General features: G+C 39.3%; 1 protein-coding gene across 23 annotated transcripts in view; it reads right to left on the reverse strand.

The window, feature by feature from the left end:
* The window catches only part of PKHD1 (PKHD1 ciliary IPT domain containing fibrocystin/polyductin), a 472317-nt gene that overhangs the window by 296211 nt on the left and 156612 nt on the right, over window positions 1-19494 (reverse strand). For all 23 annotated transcript variants that reach the window (XR_001743469.2, XM_017010944.3, XM_017010945.3 and 20 more), the window contains 2 exons: window positions 857-1067; window positions 290-447 (listed from right to left, as the gene is read on the reverse strand). Coding sequence is in view for 22 of the 23 variants with exons in the window: in XM_017010944.3 (XP_016866433.1) it covers window positions 290-447; window positions 857-1067 (369 nt within the window). In the remaining variant the exon portion in view is untranslated. The remainder of the gene's footprint in view (window positions 1-289; window positions 448-856; window positions 1068-19494) is intronic.

The following is a 19494-nucleotide window of genomic DNA, read 5'->3' on the forward strand; positions in this document are numbered from 1 at the left end:
TTCAACTCTTCAGATTTAGTTCTTTAATAGAAATATTTTCCCCAGAGAAATAATATTTTATTTCTTTTGTCTTTTGTTATCTTTTTCACAAGGTTGTTGGGCAGTGGGGCAGAGAGGAGGATGAAATGACAATCAAGAGCATTCTGAAAACTACAGAAAAGTATGGGCATCCAAAGTTTAAGGGCTTATTCTATTTTAAAAGAGGTCAACCACAGCAATGCCATCTATCATCAGACAGTAAGAATATTCTTTTTTGCTCATTAGACTTTCCAACAAAACACTCTTCTACCTTCTGGAGCATTGGCCTCCTGGCATGAAACAAGCAGCTTCTCCCTCTCATTAGTGAGATTTCCTTGTATGGTAATACTCCTGCTGAGCAGAGCCACAGTGGCCTTTAAAATATGGTGCTCTCCAGCCACCCAATTCTCTGTAAAGTTGTGAGAATATCTGGAGAAAAAAAGAGGATGATAGAACTGAGGACATCACTCCAAATCTTACTAGGAATAATAAGCCACTAGATTAACATAATTCTTCCTTTGGGGATCTATTCATGTTTCTTTAGAAACTCAATACCAAATAGTGAACTATAGACACAAGTACATGAAAATTAGAAACTATGCTGATCATTGCCCCAAACATTTGTGTAAGACAGAAGTTCTAGAGACAAGACAAACTAACTTACAAAGTCTAAATCTTCAAAACATTTCATGCTTTTTAATTTTCTTGTCAAAATGTCTACCATTATTTAAGCAGAAGAAATATATCATTGAAAGACCCCAATACAAATGTCCAGACCCCAATACAGTTAAGATCTCATCTTCTTCCATGTCAACTTAGCCAAGCTGACACTCAGTACCTCAAAGGTGACTTAAGATAGAGGTCTGTATCCTGCACAGTTTCCACAGTGACAATCTCTTCCATCGGTTTGGCACCTTTAACACCTGTTCCACTGATGATGACAACTTCATCCCCAGGGTTCCAGTCCACAGCATCTTCTAAAGCCAGCACTGTGTCTAGGGCATGGGCAGTTGCTCTAAGACAGGTGACAATTACTTCTGGTAGTGAACCTAAAGCAGCCCGAGGAAAAGTTGTCCAGATAATTTAATCATTAATCAAAACGTGATTAATTTAATCATTAATAAATGTGATGTTATTTAGCCAAAGAATCCCATAAAATAAGACCTGGAAAAGCAAGCTTCAGGATAGGTAAGCACTAATTTTTTTATATTAGTTTTGTTTTATTTTGTTTGACCTTGGTTTTCTTTTTATCTATAAAAAGAAGTCAATAAAAGTAAGCCAGACTAGAGAATAGCAACGTGTAAAAAGCACAAGAATTGTGGTCAGATTACACTTATATTTGAATCACGATCTTTTCATATTCTAACCCTATTCTTTAGGGTAATAAACTTGATGAATGGGCTTCAGTTTCCTCAGTTAAAAACAGAAGTAGCAGGGTCTTCCATCATAGGGTTTTGGAAGGATTCAATGAAATAGTATCTATGAAACATCTAGCTTGGATCTTACCACATAATAGACCCTAAGGGTATGTTAGTCCTTTCTCTTCCTTTTCTGTGTCACACTGTTTGAGGATGAAATTTTACCACCTCTTTTTTATTCCAAGAAAAAACAAGTGGTTATTAGACTTTCTGATGTAGACCTCCATAACTAATTTCCAATATGAAGACTTCACAAATAACAAAAATAGAGGGGAAAACAAAAATTATCTCTTAGAGTTGTCATAAGTCTTGGTGTATTAAATGATCCCTTCAAACTCTAAAAACTAGACCTATCTAACATAGGACTGCTAAATGCAGTTGAAGAAGGGGAACTTGTGGTTCAAGATAAACTTTGTTTGTATTACACTCCAGCATACCCGCCTGACCATCCCCATACCAGCATGCTAATCTCTAATTATCAAAGATTCAAGAAGGTCATCTGTCTCACAGTTTATTCTGGTCTTTTCCAGCAAGGGTCAAGGCACAGATTTTTTCAAGGCATTATCTGAATACTTCAGAAAACACATGGCTTACTCCCTACTCCTTCCTCTTTCTGTAGTACATTTCCTTCCTCTTTTGCAATGGATGATAATTTACCTTTAGCCCGCAGCAAGTTACTGTCCTCCCTTGTTGTACTAAAGTAAAGTAATAATACTTGAATCTCTAACTACAGAGGTGGCCGACAATAAATCATTTTCAAATTATTTTAAACTTTCCTCTTTATTTATTTGTCTCTCTGTGCATAAGCACTTGTACCAATAATGTTCTAGGTTTAGAAAGGTCTCTGGGTTAATATTGTAATTTCTGAAGTTTACTTGGGCAATAATTTTGTCTTAAAAAAATGTACAGAGTTCAAAATTTCTAATTATAAGGCAGGTGAAAATTAAGACATAAATCATCCCAAAAGAAAATAATTTTAACTTTATTTCTTGTTTGTATATCTTAACCCTTGGAAACAATAAAATGAAATAAAATTTATTTATATGTATATGCATATATATGTGAATTTTTATAACCCATTCTTGAATGCCTACATAGAAAAATCTCTACTAAGCACAGAAAAATGTTTATCCAAGACAAAATGCCGTCAGACTCTGTGATCAGTATTCACAATTCTCAATTAATATGCAACAAATACCTGCTATGTGACTATCAACATGCAAGCTACGCATGGCAGAACCAAGAGTAAAGACCACAAAGGTCTAGCTCAACTAGTTACTCCTATAAATAATGGTCAACTCTGAATGGATGAAAAAATTCACAGATAATCTTTGAAGTACATTTTTAAACTATTAACAAAAAAGTTACATCTTTGTAAATATTGACAGAGCCTCTAGAAAGCAGTAAAACTAGCTTATAACTTATGCACTCCCATTGCAAAAATAACACCTCTATGTGTATGGTTAAAACATCAAGCCTGGATGTTTAATGAGTGTTGGCCTCATATTTCTAGCTACATAGTAGATATTGACATTTAGATGAGCTACTACCATCTTGAAATTATTGTAATAATTATCTGAGCTAGACCCTCTTGCAAACAGCTTTTATTCCTTTAAGTATTCCTCCTTATGTTCTTTTTTTAAACAAATTTTGTGCTAAGTTATTTCAATTACATCCCTTCTTTGTCCATTAACCTGCAGTATTTTCCTGCAATACTCAGTAACAAAGTCTCAAATTTGCTGCTTGACTTCAAAGACTCTCCATAATGTGACCCTACTTTATGGTCTCTGATTTCTTAATAAATTCTGTTCCAAGAAGCCCAGTCTCTTTACCTCTTCTCATTTAACCGGATCGTCCTGCCTCTAATCTTTTGTCAATTTCGTCCTTTCCGCTCATGTCCTTGCTTCTTTCTCTTCATCTATCCTTTTAAAGCACAACTCAAGCCCAATCTTTTCAGTGAATTTCAGAACATACTTCATCTTCACTTCCTCCTACAAACCTTGTAGTGATCAGTGACATCGTTCCTTCAGCAAAATCTGTGTGTACATCTGGGATTTAGGCATTCCCAAGTATGTCTGGGTAGCTTGTGGGCCATTTATTTGAGCTGCTTTGTGTGGGGGAGGAAGTTTGCACAAAGAAACAGATGAGAGAAAAGAAGATGACAGAGAAGATATGGGGTCAATCTCAGATATAGGCCCTCTCTCTTGACCACAAGGACCTATGACTGAACCTGAGGGAATAATTTGGAGGAACCCTCCAGATGGCTTTGTCACCTGATGCTGCTCCACCTGAGATTCTCTCACCAACTCACTCTGCTGCATTCTTTAGAACTTAATCCTGAGAGAAGGCTCCAAGACTTGCTGAGTAGGCAAACCCTGTATATAATCTGTCATATCACCATGGCTGTCTCCTTTCTCACACTTAACACAACTGCAATTTGGCCTCTATTTCTGTACTTAGAATTTGTCTCCCCCACTAAACATAACAGCAAAAACCATACCTATGTTCATTCACCGTCACAATATCAATGCCTTTCACAGTGTCTAGCATGTAAGTGTTCCATAAATACATCCTGAATGCATAAAATCACAAATGAGACAGAGAAACAAGCACCCCAATGTCTTGGTGTCCAGTTGATCAGATGGGACTCTGAGTGGCATGCAGAGACAGTTGCCACATTTCATCATGGGACACAGTACACTCCCACATCTTGGGGTTTTAAATGAAAGCCCACACCCTCAAACCCATGTGTTCAGTACTCTCATGGCAGGTACCAGCAGTAGATGCAGGGATGAGGCAGCCCCTACTACCTTCCTAAATGGAGAACAATGACCAAGAAGCCAAAGTAGGAGGAAAAGAACATGAAAGATGCCTCATGGTGACTAAGGCAGACAGATGAACTCACAGAAAACACATTGTGAGAACACGTAGAACAAGCAAGCAGAACTGCTAAAAAGGGGAGAAGGTTTTGTGAGAGTTGGGGGCCTCAGACAGTAAAATTTTTATCACTATTGAAATATCCACAGGCTGAGCAGGCTCAGGGAAGCCTGGGGAGACTTCAATTACATAAACAATAGTCAGTCCCATGTATCTCAGCACTAAATCATCCTGAAATTACTAAAGTGCATGTGTCTTTTCTCTCCACCTTACAGGTGGCACCATGACTGCTGTGCCACTGCCTCATGTCTCCTTTATATATGGCACAATTCCTAACACAGCACTGGACGCATAATTAACATTCAATTCATAGTGGTTTAAATGACCTATTTTAAGTATTGCCTTCTGGGCAATCACTTGTAAACTCCCATCAGATATATACCCAAGTGAGTATATAATATTCAATATGCAAAAAGCAGAAAAAAATACAAACATTTATTGAAAACTTAGAATAACCCCAACCTATGCAAACTAGTTTCATTGTCAAGTAAGAAATCTTTGGTTTTTTATTTTTGTTATTTATTTTAACAGATTGTACAGATAGGAAACTATGATTCTTCAAGGACAAGATTATATGGTAATAGATATCAGCACAAAGTTCTGAAACTAGTTCTTCTGAATCTAAGACCAGAGAACTAGACAAGTAAATGGAATTTGTAGCCTCTGGAAATAGCTGTAAATTAACTGTACCCAATTAGCTTTGATGTTCAAAAAATTATACTCATTACTTCATAAATGTTATTTAAATGTCATACAAGGTGGACCAACTGACTTCTCTGATGAAGAAGGCATTGCACACATTTTACATCTGAGTCATTTCTGTTCATAGAACTATTGAAACCCAGGTTGGGTAGCTCCCTTCCTTTCTGTACCACAAATCAAAAACACATAAAACTACGCATAAAAAGCTCAATAATTTATGAATATGCTAAATGAAAAAGGACTATGCTTTTAACTTGTAATTTAATACTATGTTTAATCACTTTGGGCTTTCCATGTTGACCTGTTAACCAACAAACTACTCATTTACTCCCACTAATGACTTCTACTCATAATTGTATTTCCTACAAATTATTGTTCAAGCATTTCAATGTCATTCATCCATAATTACACAGTCTCAGAGCACCATTCTTACTAAATGGGCATGGAGAAAAATAAAATAATCCTTGTGGGTTAACACACTAAAATCACTAATTGTCCTCTGTTTGCTTACTTTGTAGGACTTAAATCTTTATTCTAAGAATAACTGCCAAGGCCTTTCAAAATCATTTAGGGTGGGGGAGGGAGAGAGGGAGAGAGGGAGAGGTGGGGGGGAGAGAGAGAGAGAGAGAGAGAAAGGAGAAAGAAAAGGATAATTTATTAAAATAATGTTTGCATCAGAATAAAGGAACTTACAAAAAAAACTAGAAATATTGTCCTCAAATATATACAAATTATTTCCCCCTTATTTCTGGATGCAACATCACCATTATCCATAGCAAAACATTAGATGCTGTCTTGTATGTGGATGAACATTTGTCACGCACTAGGAAGACAAACACAAAGAACAGAGTCCCTTTCCTCCAGGGCCCATGATCAGTACAAGAAATAGACAAAAATCAGAAGTGCACTGTGCAAGGTGCAGTGACACTCAGGGGTGTACAGACATGGAGCACTGCAATCACACCAAGGGAGTGGTCCTTTCCAGGAATGCTTCCCAGAAGAGGTGATAACTGAGCTGGGTCTTGAAGGACAAACCAAAGTGTGCCAGATGACAAAATGGGAAGCGTACCCTAGGCAACGACAATGATGTGTAAGATGGTGGGGGACATTCGAATAACTGCTACATATGTGGCATGGCCAGAGTACAGGTATACAGAAGGTATAGGCACCTAGTGACTGTCCCTTCATTCTGAAGAGGTGAGCAGGACCCATCCAAAAATGACTCACAGGCCCTCCCATAGCACTTAGAGTTTATCCTAAAAATTATTTGGAAACCACTAAATGAATATTTGGGATGAAATCTAAGAAATGATACTGTTGTGAAACTGTTTTAAGCCCATAGTACACATATCAAACTAAGAGAAGAAAATCCTTAGTGAGAAAATGGACTTACTGTATGTTGGGGAAAATGAGTCAAATCCTAAGACAAACAAGAGCCAGCCAGTAGGGAAACTGAGAGCCTGATGTGTTACTCTATGAACTAGATATCAGACCTTTGGAGCAAATGAAGAGGACTGGGCAAAATAATGCAGGACTTTGTTGACCTGTTTTAAAGACCTTAAGTTGTATTTGAAATAGTTATAAAAACAAATATATACATATATATATTCATTATTTATTTTTATATATTTATTTTTAAGTTCTGGGATACATGCGCAGAACGTGCAGGTTTGTTACATAGGTATACACGTGCCATGGTGGTTTGCTGCACCCATCAACCCATCATCTACATTAGGTATTTCTCCTAATGCTCTCTTTCCCCTTGCCCCCCACCCACTAACAGGCCCTGGTGTGTGATGTTGCCCTCCCTGTGTCCATGTGTTGTCATTGTTCAACTCCTGCTTATGAGTGAGAACATGTGTTTGATTTTCTGTCTTGTGTTAGTTTGCTGAGAATGATGGTTTCCAGCTTCATCCATGTCCCTGCAAAGGACATGAACTCATCCTTTTTTATGGCTGCATAGTATTCCACAGTATAGATGTGCCGCATTTTCTTTATCCAGTCTATCATTGATGGGCATTTGGGTTGGTTCCAAGTCTTTGCTATTGTGAACAGTGATTCAATAAACATACGTGTGCATGTGTCTTTATGGTTGAATGATTTATAATCCTTTGGGTATATACCCAGTAATGGGATTGCTGGGTCAAATGGTATTTCTGGTTCCTGATCCTTGAGGAATCACCACACTATCTTCCAGTGTAAAAGTGTTTCTATTTCTACACATCCACTCCAGCATCTGTTATTTCCTGACTTTTTAATGATCACCATTCTCACTGGTGTGAGATGGTATATTGACCAGTAATGATGAGCTTTTATTCATATGTTTGTTGATCGCATAAATATCTTCCTTTGAGAAGTGTCTATTCATATCCTTCGCCCACTTTTTGATGGGGTTGTTTTTTCTTGTAAATTTGTCTAAGTTCCTTGTAGACTCTGGAAATTAGCCCTTTGTCAGATGGATAGATTGCAAATATTTTCTCCCATTCTGTAGGTTGCCTGTTCACTCTCATGATAGTTTCTTTTGCTATACAGAAGCTCTTTAGTTTAATTAGATCCCATTTGTCAATTTTGGCTTCTGTTGCCATTGCTTTTGATGTTTTAGTCATGAAGTCCTTGCCCATGCCTACGTCCTGAATGGTATTGCCTAGGTTTTTTTCTAGGGTTTTTATGGTTTTAGGTCTAACATTTAAGACTTTAATCAAACTTGAATTAATTTTTGTATAAGGTGTAAGGAAGGGATCCAATTTCAGCTTTCTACATATGGCTAGCCAGTTTTCCCAGCACCATTTATTAAATAGGGAATCCTTTCCCCATTGCTTGTTTCTGTCAGGTTTGTCAAAGATCAGATGGTTGTAGATGTGTGGTATTATTTCTGAGGGCTCTGTTCTGTTCCATTGGTCTATATCTCTGTTTTGGTACAAGTACCATGCTGTTTTGGTTACTGTTGCCTTGTAATATCGTTTGAAGTCAGGTAGCATGATGCCTCCAGCTTTGTTCTTTTGGCTTAGGATTGTCTTGGAAATGCAGGCTCTTTTTTGGTTCCACGTGAACTTTAAAGAAGTTTTTTCCAATTCTGTGAAGAAAGTCCTTGGTAGCTTGATGGGGATGGCATTGAATCTATAACTTACCTTGGGCAGTATGGCCATTTTCACGATATTGATTCTTCCTATCCATGAGCATGGAATGTTCTTCCATTTGTTTGTGTCCTCTTTGATTTCCTTGAGCAGTGGGGTTTGTAGTTCTCCTTGAAGAGGTCCTTCACATCCCTTGTAAGTTGGATTCCTAGGTATTTTATTCTCTTTGAAGCAATTGTGAATGGGAGTTCACTCATGATTTGGTTCTTTGTCTGTTATTGGTGTATAAGAATGCTTGTGATTTTGCACACTGATTTTGTATCCTGAGATTTTGCTGAAGTTGCTTATCAGCTTAAGGAGATTCTGGGCTGAGAGGATTGGGTTTTCTAAATATACAATCATGTAATTTGCAAACAGGGACAATTTGACTTCCTCTTTTCCTAATTGAATACCCTTTATTTCTTTATCCTGCCTGATGGCCCAGGCCAGAACTTCCAACACTATGTTGAATAGGCGTGGTGAGAGAGGGCATCCCTGTCTTGTGCCAGTTTTCAAAGGGAATGCTTCTGGTTTCTGCCCATTCAGTATGATATTGGCTGTGGGTTTGTCATAGATAGCTCTTATGAGTTTGACATACATCCCGTCAATACCTAGTTTATTCAGAGTTTTTAGATGAAGGGCTGTTGAATTTTGTCGAAGGCCTTTTCTGCATCTATTGAGATAATCATGTGGTTTTTGTCTTTGGTTCGGTTTATATGCTGGATTACATTTATTGATTTGCGTATATTGAACCAGCCTTGCATCCCAGGTATGAAGCCCACTTGATCTTGGTGGATAAGCTTTTTGATGTGCTGCTGGATTTGGTTTGCCAGTATTTTATTGAGGATTTTTGCATCAATGTTTATCAGGGATATTGGTCTAAAATTCTCTTTTTTGGTTGTGTCTCTGCCAGGCTTTGGTATCAGAATGATGCTGGATAAAATGAGTTAGGGAGGATTCCCTCTTTTTCTATTGATTGGAATAGTTTCAGAAGGAATGGTATCAGCTGCTCTTTGTACCTCTGGTAGAATTCGGCTGTGAATCCGTCTGGTCCTGGACTTTTTTTGGTTGGTAAGCTATTAATTATTGCCTCAATTTCAGATCCTGTTATTGGTCTATTCAGGGATTCAACTTCTTCCTGGTTTAGTCTTGGGAGGGTGTATGTGTCCAGGAATTTATCCATTTCTTCTATATTTTCCATTTTATTTGTGTAGAGGTGTTTATAGTATTCTCTGATGGTTGTTTATATTTCTGTGGGATAGGTGGTGGTATCCCCTTTATCATTTTTTATTGTGTCTATTTGATTCTTCTCTCTTTTCTTCTCTATTAGTCTTGCTAGTGGTCTATCAATTTTGTTAATCTTTTCAAAAAACCAGCTCCTGGATTCATTGATTTTTTGAAGGGTTTTTTGTGTCTCTATCTCCTTCAGTTTTCCTCTGATCTTAGTGATTTCTTGCCTTCTGCTAGCTTTTGAATGTGTTTGCTGTTGCTTCTCTAGTTCTTTTAATTGTGATGTTAGAGTATCGATTTTAGGTCTTTCCTGCTTTCTCTTGTGGGCAATTAGTGCGATAAATTATAATTTAGTGCTATAAAGATCTGTTGTTAGTCTGATGGGCTTCCCTTTGTGGGTAACCAGACCTTTCTCTCTGGCTGCCCTTAACATTTTTTCCTTCATTTCAACTTTGGTGAATCTGACAATTATGTGTCTTGGGGTTGCTCTTCTCAAGGAGTATCTTTGTGGCATTCTCTGTATTTCCTGAATTTGAATGTTGGCCTGCCTTGCTAGGTTGGGGAAATTCTCCTGGATAATATCCTGAAGAGTGTTTTCCAACTTGGTTCCCTTCTCCCCGTCACTTTCAGGTACACCAATCAGACGTAGATTTGGTCTTTTCACATAGTCCCATATTTCTTGGAGGCTTTGTTCATTTCTTTTAACTCTTTTTTCTCTAAACTTCTCTTCTCACTTCATATCATTCGTTTCATCTTCAATCACTGATACCCTTTCTTCCACTTGATTAAATCGGCTACTGAAGCTTGTGCATGCATCACATAGTTCTCATGCCATGGTTTTCAGCTCCATCAGGTCATCTAAGGTCTTCTCTATGCTGTTTATTCTAGTTAGCCATTCATCTAATCTTTTTTCAAGGTTTGTAGCTTCTTTGTGAGGGATTCGAACATCCTCCTTTAGCTTGGAGAGGTTTGTTATTACCGATCTTCTGAAGCCTACTTCTGTCAACTCATCAAAGTCATTCTCCATCCAGCTTTGTTCTATTGCTGGCAAGGAGCTGCGATCTTTTGGAGGAGAAGAGGCACTCTGATTTTTAGAATTTTCAGCTTTTCTGCTCTGGTTTCTCCCCATCTTTGTGGTTTTATCTACCTTTGGTCTTTGATGATGGTGACCAACAGATGGGGTTTTGGTGTGGATGTCTTTTTTGTTGATGTTGATGCTGTTCCTTTCTGTTAGTTTTCCTTCTATCAGTCAGGACCCTCAGCTGCAGGTCTATTGGAGTTTGCTGGAGGTCCACTCCAGACCCTGTTTGCCTGGGTATCACCAGCAGAGGCTGAAGAACAGCAAATATTGCAGAACAGCAAATGTTGCTGCCTGATCCTTCTTCTGGAAGCTTCATCTCAGAGGGGCACCCAGCTGTATGAGGTGTCAGCCAGCCCCTACTGGGAGGTGTCTCCCATTTAGGCTACTCAGGGTCAGGGACCCACTTGAGTCTGTCCATTCTCAGATTTCAAACTCTGTGCTGGGAGAACCACTACTCTCTTCAAAGCTGTCAGACAGGGACATTTAAGTCTGCAGAAGTTTCTGCTGCCTTTTGTTCAGCTATGCCCTGCCCCGAGAGGTAGAGTCTACAGAGGCAGGCAGGCCTAGCTGAGCTGCGGTGGGCTCCACTCAGTTCGAGTTTCCTGGCCACTTTGTTTACCTACTCAAGCCTCAGCAATGGCGGATGCCCCTCCCCAAGCCTCGCTGCCTCCTTGCGTTTGATCTCAGACAGCTGTGCTAGCAGTGAGCAAGGATCCATGGGCATGGGACCCTCCGAGCCAGGCACGGGATATAATCTCCTGGTGTGCCATTTTCTAAGACCATTGGAAAAGTGCAGCACTAGGGTGGGAGTGTCCCGATTTTCCAGGTACCATCTGTCATGGCTTCCCTTGGCTAGGAAAGGGAATTCCACAACCCCCTGCACTTCCCTGGTGAGGCAATGCCCCACCCTGCTTCGGCTCACACTCCATGGGCTGCATCCACTGTCCAACAAGTCCCATTGAGATGAACCCAGTACCTCAGTTGGAAATGCAGAAATCACCCATCTTCTGCGTTGCTCATGCTGGGAGCTATAGACTGGAGTTGTTCCTATTCAGCCATCTTGGAACCCAACCCCGTTTTGCCAAATTTTTAAGGTAACGTTCATGGGTTCCAAGGATTAGGACATGGACATACATGGGTGTCATTTTTTAGCCTATGGTTGAATAAATAGTGCTGTGAAAATTGGCTATTCATTTGAAAAAAAATAGATAACTGACAAACTATATCAGAATCAATTCTAGACTGATTAAAATAAGGGCCTGGTAACTTTTTCTGTAAAAAGAACAGGGAGATAATAAAGAGTTTGGGGTTTGCAGACCACGTGGTCTCTGTCATAATGACTGAACTTTGCCCTTATAGTGCAAAGCAGCCATAGATAATACCTACACAAATGGGTGTGGCTGTGCCTCAATAAAATTTTGTGTATAAAAGCAAGGAATGGACCAGATTTGGTCCATGGCTCATAGTTTGCTGACCCTAGTTAAAGACAGACACAAATGTGAAAAAAAAGAAAAAAAAAAAACAATAAAAGTACCAAAAAACAAGTAGGTAAATTTTTATATAGTCTTTGTACAGAAAAGAGTTGATAAACATAAAATCAAAGGCAGAAACCATAAGAGAAAATATTTGTAGATTTGCCATCACAAAGATTGGAAAACTCCATAGAAGTACTAAAAGATAAATAACGTGTGAAAGAAACCGGTTCTTTGTACCTCTATCAAGAATTTTACAAAGAGAGCTATAAGCCAGAAAGCCCCAATTGGGATCTCAAAATAAGCTGAAAAAGTTAAAATTGAGGAGACTGTTTCAGAAAGAAGTATATTCTGCCTTTCTGCCACAAGTAAATACCAGCTATGTGTACACAAAATAGAAGCGAGGCCATGTGTGTCTTAAGTCCAATGAAGAAAATGGAATGAGTTTTAGTTACATCCCCTTGCAGGCCCCAGTTTCATCATCTCTAAAATGAAAGTAACGATCCCAGTCTTTCAGGCTTCACAGGGTGGTTGTGAGAGTTAAATGAGAGTAAAGAATGGGAAGCAGCTTTGAAAATTATAAAGTGCCAGGATCTAGGTAAAATCCAATTTTGACAAATACCAAATATAATACCCAATTCAATGATACTCTTTTTCCATGACCAGGCTGAAAGCAATACTATTAATAGTATTGCTTTGATGATGCATATGGAAGAATTCTCTTTGAAGGAAAAATCACAAGCTTCTGCCTATGTAGCTTTCCATTTACTTAACAAAGTTGAGTTTCTTGTGGTACTCAAAAATGTAAAAAATGAAAATCTACACCACATTAACCATTTAGTAACCTAAAAGAAGACTACTACTGAAGCATGAGGGTGGCCAAGGGGGAGAGTTGAAAAACAGGACAGAAGGTGTTAGCAGGAAGCTAAATAGCACCTAATAGCCATGCTATAAATTTCGGACTTTACCTTAGAAACAACGGAAAGCCACTGAAGAGTTTTGAGCAGCAGCACAATATAAACAGATTTGTGTTTTTAAAAGATCAACTTGGCTCCAGGGCAAAGAATGAATTGGAAAGAACAGAAGTGGCAACTAGAAAGTAAGTTTAAAAGCTTACACAATAATCCAGGCATAAGTTGAAGGTACCATAAACTAAGGTGACAGTAATGGAGATAGAGAGAAGGATATGGGCTCACAAGTTATCTAAGAATTAAAATCAACAAGACTTAGTGATGGACATGATAAGAGGAATGATAAAGGAGGTATCAAGAATGACAACCAGGTTTCTAGCTGAGAGATTATTGGAAAACGGTAAACACCATCCCATCTTTAGACTAATAATGGGACAACTTCACCAAATCAAAAGTGTAAACAAATAATAACAATGATAATAACTGACATTTATTGAGTACTTGCTCAACATCTGCCATTGTGGTAAGTACATTACATGTTTTGTTTCATTTAAACCACATAACAAATATCATGAGAAATGTCTTAAAATAATGTCCGTTTTATAGATGTGGGAACTGAAACACTGGGGAGTTTTTTAAGGTCCACTAGCTAGTTCACGGTAGAGATGGGATTTGGACCACGCAGTCCACTTCAAGAGCCCAGGCTCCTCATACTTACTCAGAGGAAGATGAGTGAGTGAGTACTCTATGACGGAGCAAAGTCAAGCTCATCTAGAGAAGATGCAGAACGCCAGCAAAGATCCTCACAACCTAGCAGGAAAATGGAAACTACAGAAAGTTTGAAAGGAAGAGATGAACCTTGGAGCTAGTTACTTTCCTTTGAGAAGCTTTGTGTCAAGATGAGAGGCTTGAAATCCTCGTGTGTCTAAAATACGATACAGAGTCAGTTATGAGGTTTGCTTTGGTGACTGTGATGGTTAATTTTGCGCATCAACTTGACTGGGCTATGGGGTACCCACAACTTTAGCTAAATGTAAATTGTTCTTCGTGTGTGTGTGTGTGTATGTGTGTGTGTGTGTGTGTGTGTGTAGGTATTTCTAACGTAATTAACATCTGAATCAGTAGACTAAGTAAAGAAGATTGCCTTCCTTAATGTAGATGAGCCTTATCCAATCAGCTGAAGGCCTGAATAGAACAAAAAGGCTGAGTATGAAGTAACTTGAACTGAGACATTGGTCTTATCTGGTCTTCAAACTTAGACTGAAGCATAGGTTCTTCTTGGATATCCAGCTTGCTGGCCTTCTGACTGGAACTTACACCATTGGTCTTCCTGGTTCTTACGCCTTTGGACTTGGACTCTCTATCTGCTTCTCTTTTTCTCTCCCTCCTTCTCTCTCCCTTCCTCTCTCTCTTTTTATCTCTCTCTCTCTTTTTATCTCTCTCTCTCTCTCAAATGGCTTATGACTCAAATGGGGCGAAAGTTAATCCTGAGGCTTTTGCTCAAGTTTTTCATTCACTTATTCAAGCAAATATTTTTTAAAGCATATTATGAGTCCAGGCACTGTTCTAGGCAATGCAGATTAAAAAAAAAAAAAAAGTAAAGTGCTTGCCCTCATGATGTATATATTCTTCTGGGAGAGGTAATAAAATAAATACAAAAAAATGTGAAAAGTAAACCTTACATAATACATTAAATAATGTTGAAAGCTAAGGAGAAGAAAACCGAAGGAGCAATGTCAAACGGTGATGGGGAAATGTTGAAATTTGCTCAGAAGTTAAACAGCCATTGGGAAAGAGGCATTCCCTTTCATCTGGAGTCACAGGACTGCCATTTCTGCCTCCATGAGGGCAGAGTTTGACTGAAAATGAAGCCAGCTGAGGGGAAAGCAGAACCAAGAGTCGCAGAGAAACAAAATCTTAATGACTTCATTGGAGCACCTGGACTCAGCTGTGCCTCAAGTTTTTTCTTTTCGCCTCAAGTTTTTTATTTTCAGTTATATGAGGCAATAAGTGCTCTTATTTTTTGTTCGAATTGGGTTTTCTGTCACTTGAAACCAAAAAAAGACCTGACTAATGCCGACACTTTCAAGTATATATAGAAACTTGAAGTACCTTACAATGTGTTTCTAAGTGGGGTTCCTGCTGTACTTGGATTATTGAATAGCTAGAACTCATTTCTAATTAGCAGTATACATTTACATGCAAACACCTGAAATTAAAAGACCTTAAAAACAGCATGTTCACTTAAATGTGTTTAAACAAGTCCCCTAAAGTGTGGTTTATACTATTAATTTAAGGAACCCTTTCTTAAAGATTGTTCCAAGGTTACTCTTGTCCAGATCAATGAGATTTTAGCAGACACATATCTGCCACTGTAAATAGAATGGTTATACAGTGTTTAGACTTTTTTGAAGTATTGTTAGACAGAACAGAAAAAAAACCTTATTTTTTGTTGGTGGTGTTGGTTATATTTTAGAGGACATAGAGCCAAGGGTCAGTCTCCATCTGCTCAAAAGAGAGAAACACTCATCAGTCACTGGCTGTCCTACCACGCTAGGGTTCCAAGTATGCCAGGACCATGCTTGCTGATGTTAACTCAACTGTGTAATTACGATCTGCCACAACATGCCAGCTGACCAGAACCCCAACACTGAATTAAAGCTCATTTAAATTTAAGAGTAGAAAAAGGAATAAATACTTTTTTAATTTTCCTCATCCTCCTTTCTCCATTCTTCCCCTCTATTTAATCCTCCTTCCTTCCCAGTCCTAAATAAAAACCAACAAAACAAAGCCAAATAACAACCGCAAAATGACAGTGGCTCTCCCCTTCAACCCCACATCCCTCTAGGGCACCCTTTTTACATACATAGCAGGTTGTTGGGTGGGACTTCTGCTCCTCTAGAACCTACCAGGAGGACACATGCATAGGATCAGGAGATGATAAGCACCCCACATTATAGGGAAGCCACAGACAGGGAGAAAACATCTCCTTGGGGCTTATTAAAGAAAGCTAATCTAACTCTGCCACTTTTGCCATCCCTGGAGCAGAGTCCACTCCATCATTTATGAATGACCAAAAACAAGGAGATTCAAAGAAATCCTGAGAGATGGGGATGAGCCATCAGCCTGGGTGAGCTAACCCTGGCCTTTCCTCCCCTTCCTATAGAGCGAGGTGTGAAACTACTTCTCTCTTATTAAGCAAAGAAAGAGGGCTGCATAAGTATCAATCACAGAGTGACCTGTAAGAAGGGGAGACTGGCTTCTTTTCCCAGGTGGAATGTCTGCATATGCAGCCTATTTGCTCAGCTGCTCATGCTTATCTAAGCAGGGGAAACAATTAGAGAAAGAGCAGAGCAGAGAAAGGGGTGATAAGTGAAACATCTTTCATGTGGATTTGTAAGTTTCCTCTGGATAGCTGAATTGTAGGGAAGATAGCTTGGCTTGAACCAACTTTCTAGTACTCCACCAAGACCAACCCCCAAGGTGGATGCTAACGGATTGAAAACCCAAGTGGGGCTTCCACATTGAGAAACTGTGCAGTGGAAAAGCCTCCTACAAGACTCCAGTGATTTCATGCAGGCATCTTAGGAGGGAGACTCAATAGTCAGCAATTATTATTCAGAGAGAGAGCAACACCCAACAGAGGATATAGGTGCACCGTTAAGTATTAAGCTTGTTAAACCTCTCACCTTACCTCTTCCACCTGCCCCATACTGACAATATGAAATAAGAAGGATTAGAGGAAGAGTGAGGGAGCAGACCCTACCATCCCAAGTGCCTCAAGTTGAAGCTTTGTGGGTGAGGAAGGTAACATTAAATGAATAGGAGACTGAGTTTTTAAACTAGATTAATCAGGACTGGCATTTTCAATATCTGAAATCAACTGGAAAGCTATTGGTAACCAAGGTGTTTTTAAAGGACAAGAAAAAGGATCCATCAGAATACAGACGAAGGTAGTGACTAAAGAAAAATAAAATCTATTCTGAGTCAGACTTCTGTCTGAAAGGTTTGCATCTACCAAACATCCCTAAAATTGTGTCGGTTGCATTTGCTCAGGCCTGTGGCAAATTTACACACCACATCAGCTCAAGTTTCCCATGAAATCACAGGTAATATTTTGTGGTGATAAATGCAAGGGGAAAGCAGAAGTGAAAATGTGGCTTGAGCTTGGACAGTCAGAGTGCACTTTCCCCCTGGGCACCATGTATAGTCCTTAGTCTGCTAAGTAACTCTAGCGGACTTTGGGAGGCCTCCCCTGGTTATTTTTTGAAAAGAATACAGTGTTCCTTTCTTTGGTAGTAGAAAATCAAAGTCCACATGAAATCAGGAAGTCCCAATAACCATAGAGAAGGCAGCAATAAGGAGTAGGAGAGAGTGAAGTCAATACATGCAGAGACAGCCAGGGTAAGGGACTGAGGGGTGAGTCCTGTGGACATTCGGACCCTTGAAGACAGTCACGTCTAAGGCCATTGTCTTTCTCTCCATCCTGCGTTTTGATTACAAGAATTCATAAATCCTTGGTTCTAAGTTTGTTTCCAGTGGGCTTCTGTCCCCTAAAACCAAACAATTTCAGAGTAATAAAGCTACATATAAAAATGCCATGTCATAGCTCTGGTTTGTATCTAGCTCAAGGGAACGAGAGACAGAAGAAAAGGGAGGAGTCTTGGTCTAGAAGAAATAGGTAAGGAAAGGGGCAAGAGGAGACAGCATTGGAGACTATTAATCAGGTGACGAGAGAGTGGAGATTTAAAAATATATTGTTGGATAAGAGGAACTGTTATGACATGAAAATGGGCTCTAGAAAGTTTCACCCTACATCAAAGAACAGACTTTATAGAAAATGTCCCAGAGCTAAATCAGTCTTGGGGAAACAGGAATCATGCAGAGAGGCCCTGGACACCTCAAAAGGATCCATACACCACAGCTAAAAGAATGACCTAGTAGAGTTTTTTAATCACAGTTTTAACAGTGGAACTCTTTCTTCTAACAAACTGTTACTTTGAACACAAATATATAACAGATAAAAGCAATAAATCAATTACTTGAGCAATTTAAACCTTTATTACTTGACCTCCAATATTCATTGTTTAGGGAACCCCTAAATCCCCTCCAGGAAACATTTGGATTTTGTGGAGCACAATGTGAAAACCACTGACCGGAAACACACTCCCACACATGTGCCTGTTCCACACACTTTATACCATGCTTAAAGACAGCCTGATACTCTAGCAACTATGAAAATAGTGCATATTACACAGTACTCATAGCAACCATGGAATTTACATGCAGACACTTGGCATTTTCAGAAGGAAAACAAACCATATCTAAGCTTGCTTATTTAGACCACTGCTTTTATTTATTCCTACCAAATTCTTATGTTCCTTGCAATTGCACTCGTGCTTTCTTCAATCATGCCCCACATACTGCTTTTTCTCAGGAATTTCCATGTATATTTAATGCCTATATCTTGTAATTTCTTGAAAAGGACAAAGACAGAAGTCCAGCCAAGGCCATGAGACTGTTTTTCTCCTAAGAAACTGTCAGCCAAATTTCTCAGGGAGAAACTGGAAATGAAGTGAGAGACATTGATAAATTTCCCTGCTGAACAATCAATAAAAGCTCCACCATCCTGCTCAGATTCCCACTGTGGAAGCAAGAGCCGTAATTACGTTGTCAAAAATTTAAGTTGCCCAGGCTGACAGCAACCCACTTGAAAAGTGACAAGTGATTGGCACTCAGTTTGGAGTGGTGAACCTGGATTGGCAGACAGAGTGATGAAAGCAAAAGGCAAGAGTGAAATTTCCTTATTGACTACAGCTACCCAAACCCCAGACTGCCACTCAGGAGGAATCCTGAGACCCTTTAGTCATATTAACGCATCAAAGTGAGCAGCTGACAGAAGTTACTAAACAATCTGAACTCCACCAGCAACTCAGAACCTGTCCTCATCTACTCTCAAACAGAAACAGAAAAGATGGTGCTGTGTGTGGGTGTATATGTGCAGCTGTGTGTATATGTGAGTGTATAAGGGTGTGGGACTTTTCCTACATTCAAAGAAATACATGTAACGTGCTTTCAACTCCATCTTGCCTTGTGACAGCTGAACACCAAAGCCTGTTTGCTTAGCGATTTTAATCCAAGGTAAAAATCAGCTGGAGCAGAAGGGTTTCAAAGAGCAATAATAAAGAATGAGATGGAAGGAGAAGGTGGGAAAGTGATCGGACTGACATGCAGACCATTTGTGTGATTCTACATGACCTGAGCTGGAGTTAAATTAGAATCCATTCAGCATTGCTGCTGAATATTAGGAACCAAATGTCTGCCAAGGGCCTCATTCGCTGGGCAGTGCCCTGCTTCAGACTATACTGGGACCCATGCAAATAGTTTCTAAGAAGCCTTTTGTAACCACGCCCAGGAATGGTGGTTATCCACAGCTGGGAAGCAGCTGCACCAAGAGAGATTAAAATCTAAAGGTGTTGACTGGGTGGTGGGAAGAGAAGAGAAGATGCCTGGGAATGTTGTTACCACATGATCTCCAAGGTTAAAACCCTTCTGTTACTCTGATGAAAAGAGATAGACAAGAAAATTAATATGTGTTTTGTGTGCCCAACA

The sequence above is a fragment of the Homo sapiens genome, chromosome 6, assembly GCF_000001405.40.
Source record: "Homo sapiens chromosome 6, GRCh38.p14 Primary Assembly".
NCBI classification, from domain to species: Eukaryota; Metazoa; Chordata; class Mammalia; order Primates; family Hominidae; genus Homo; species Homo sapiens.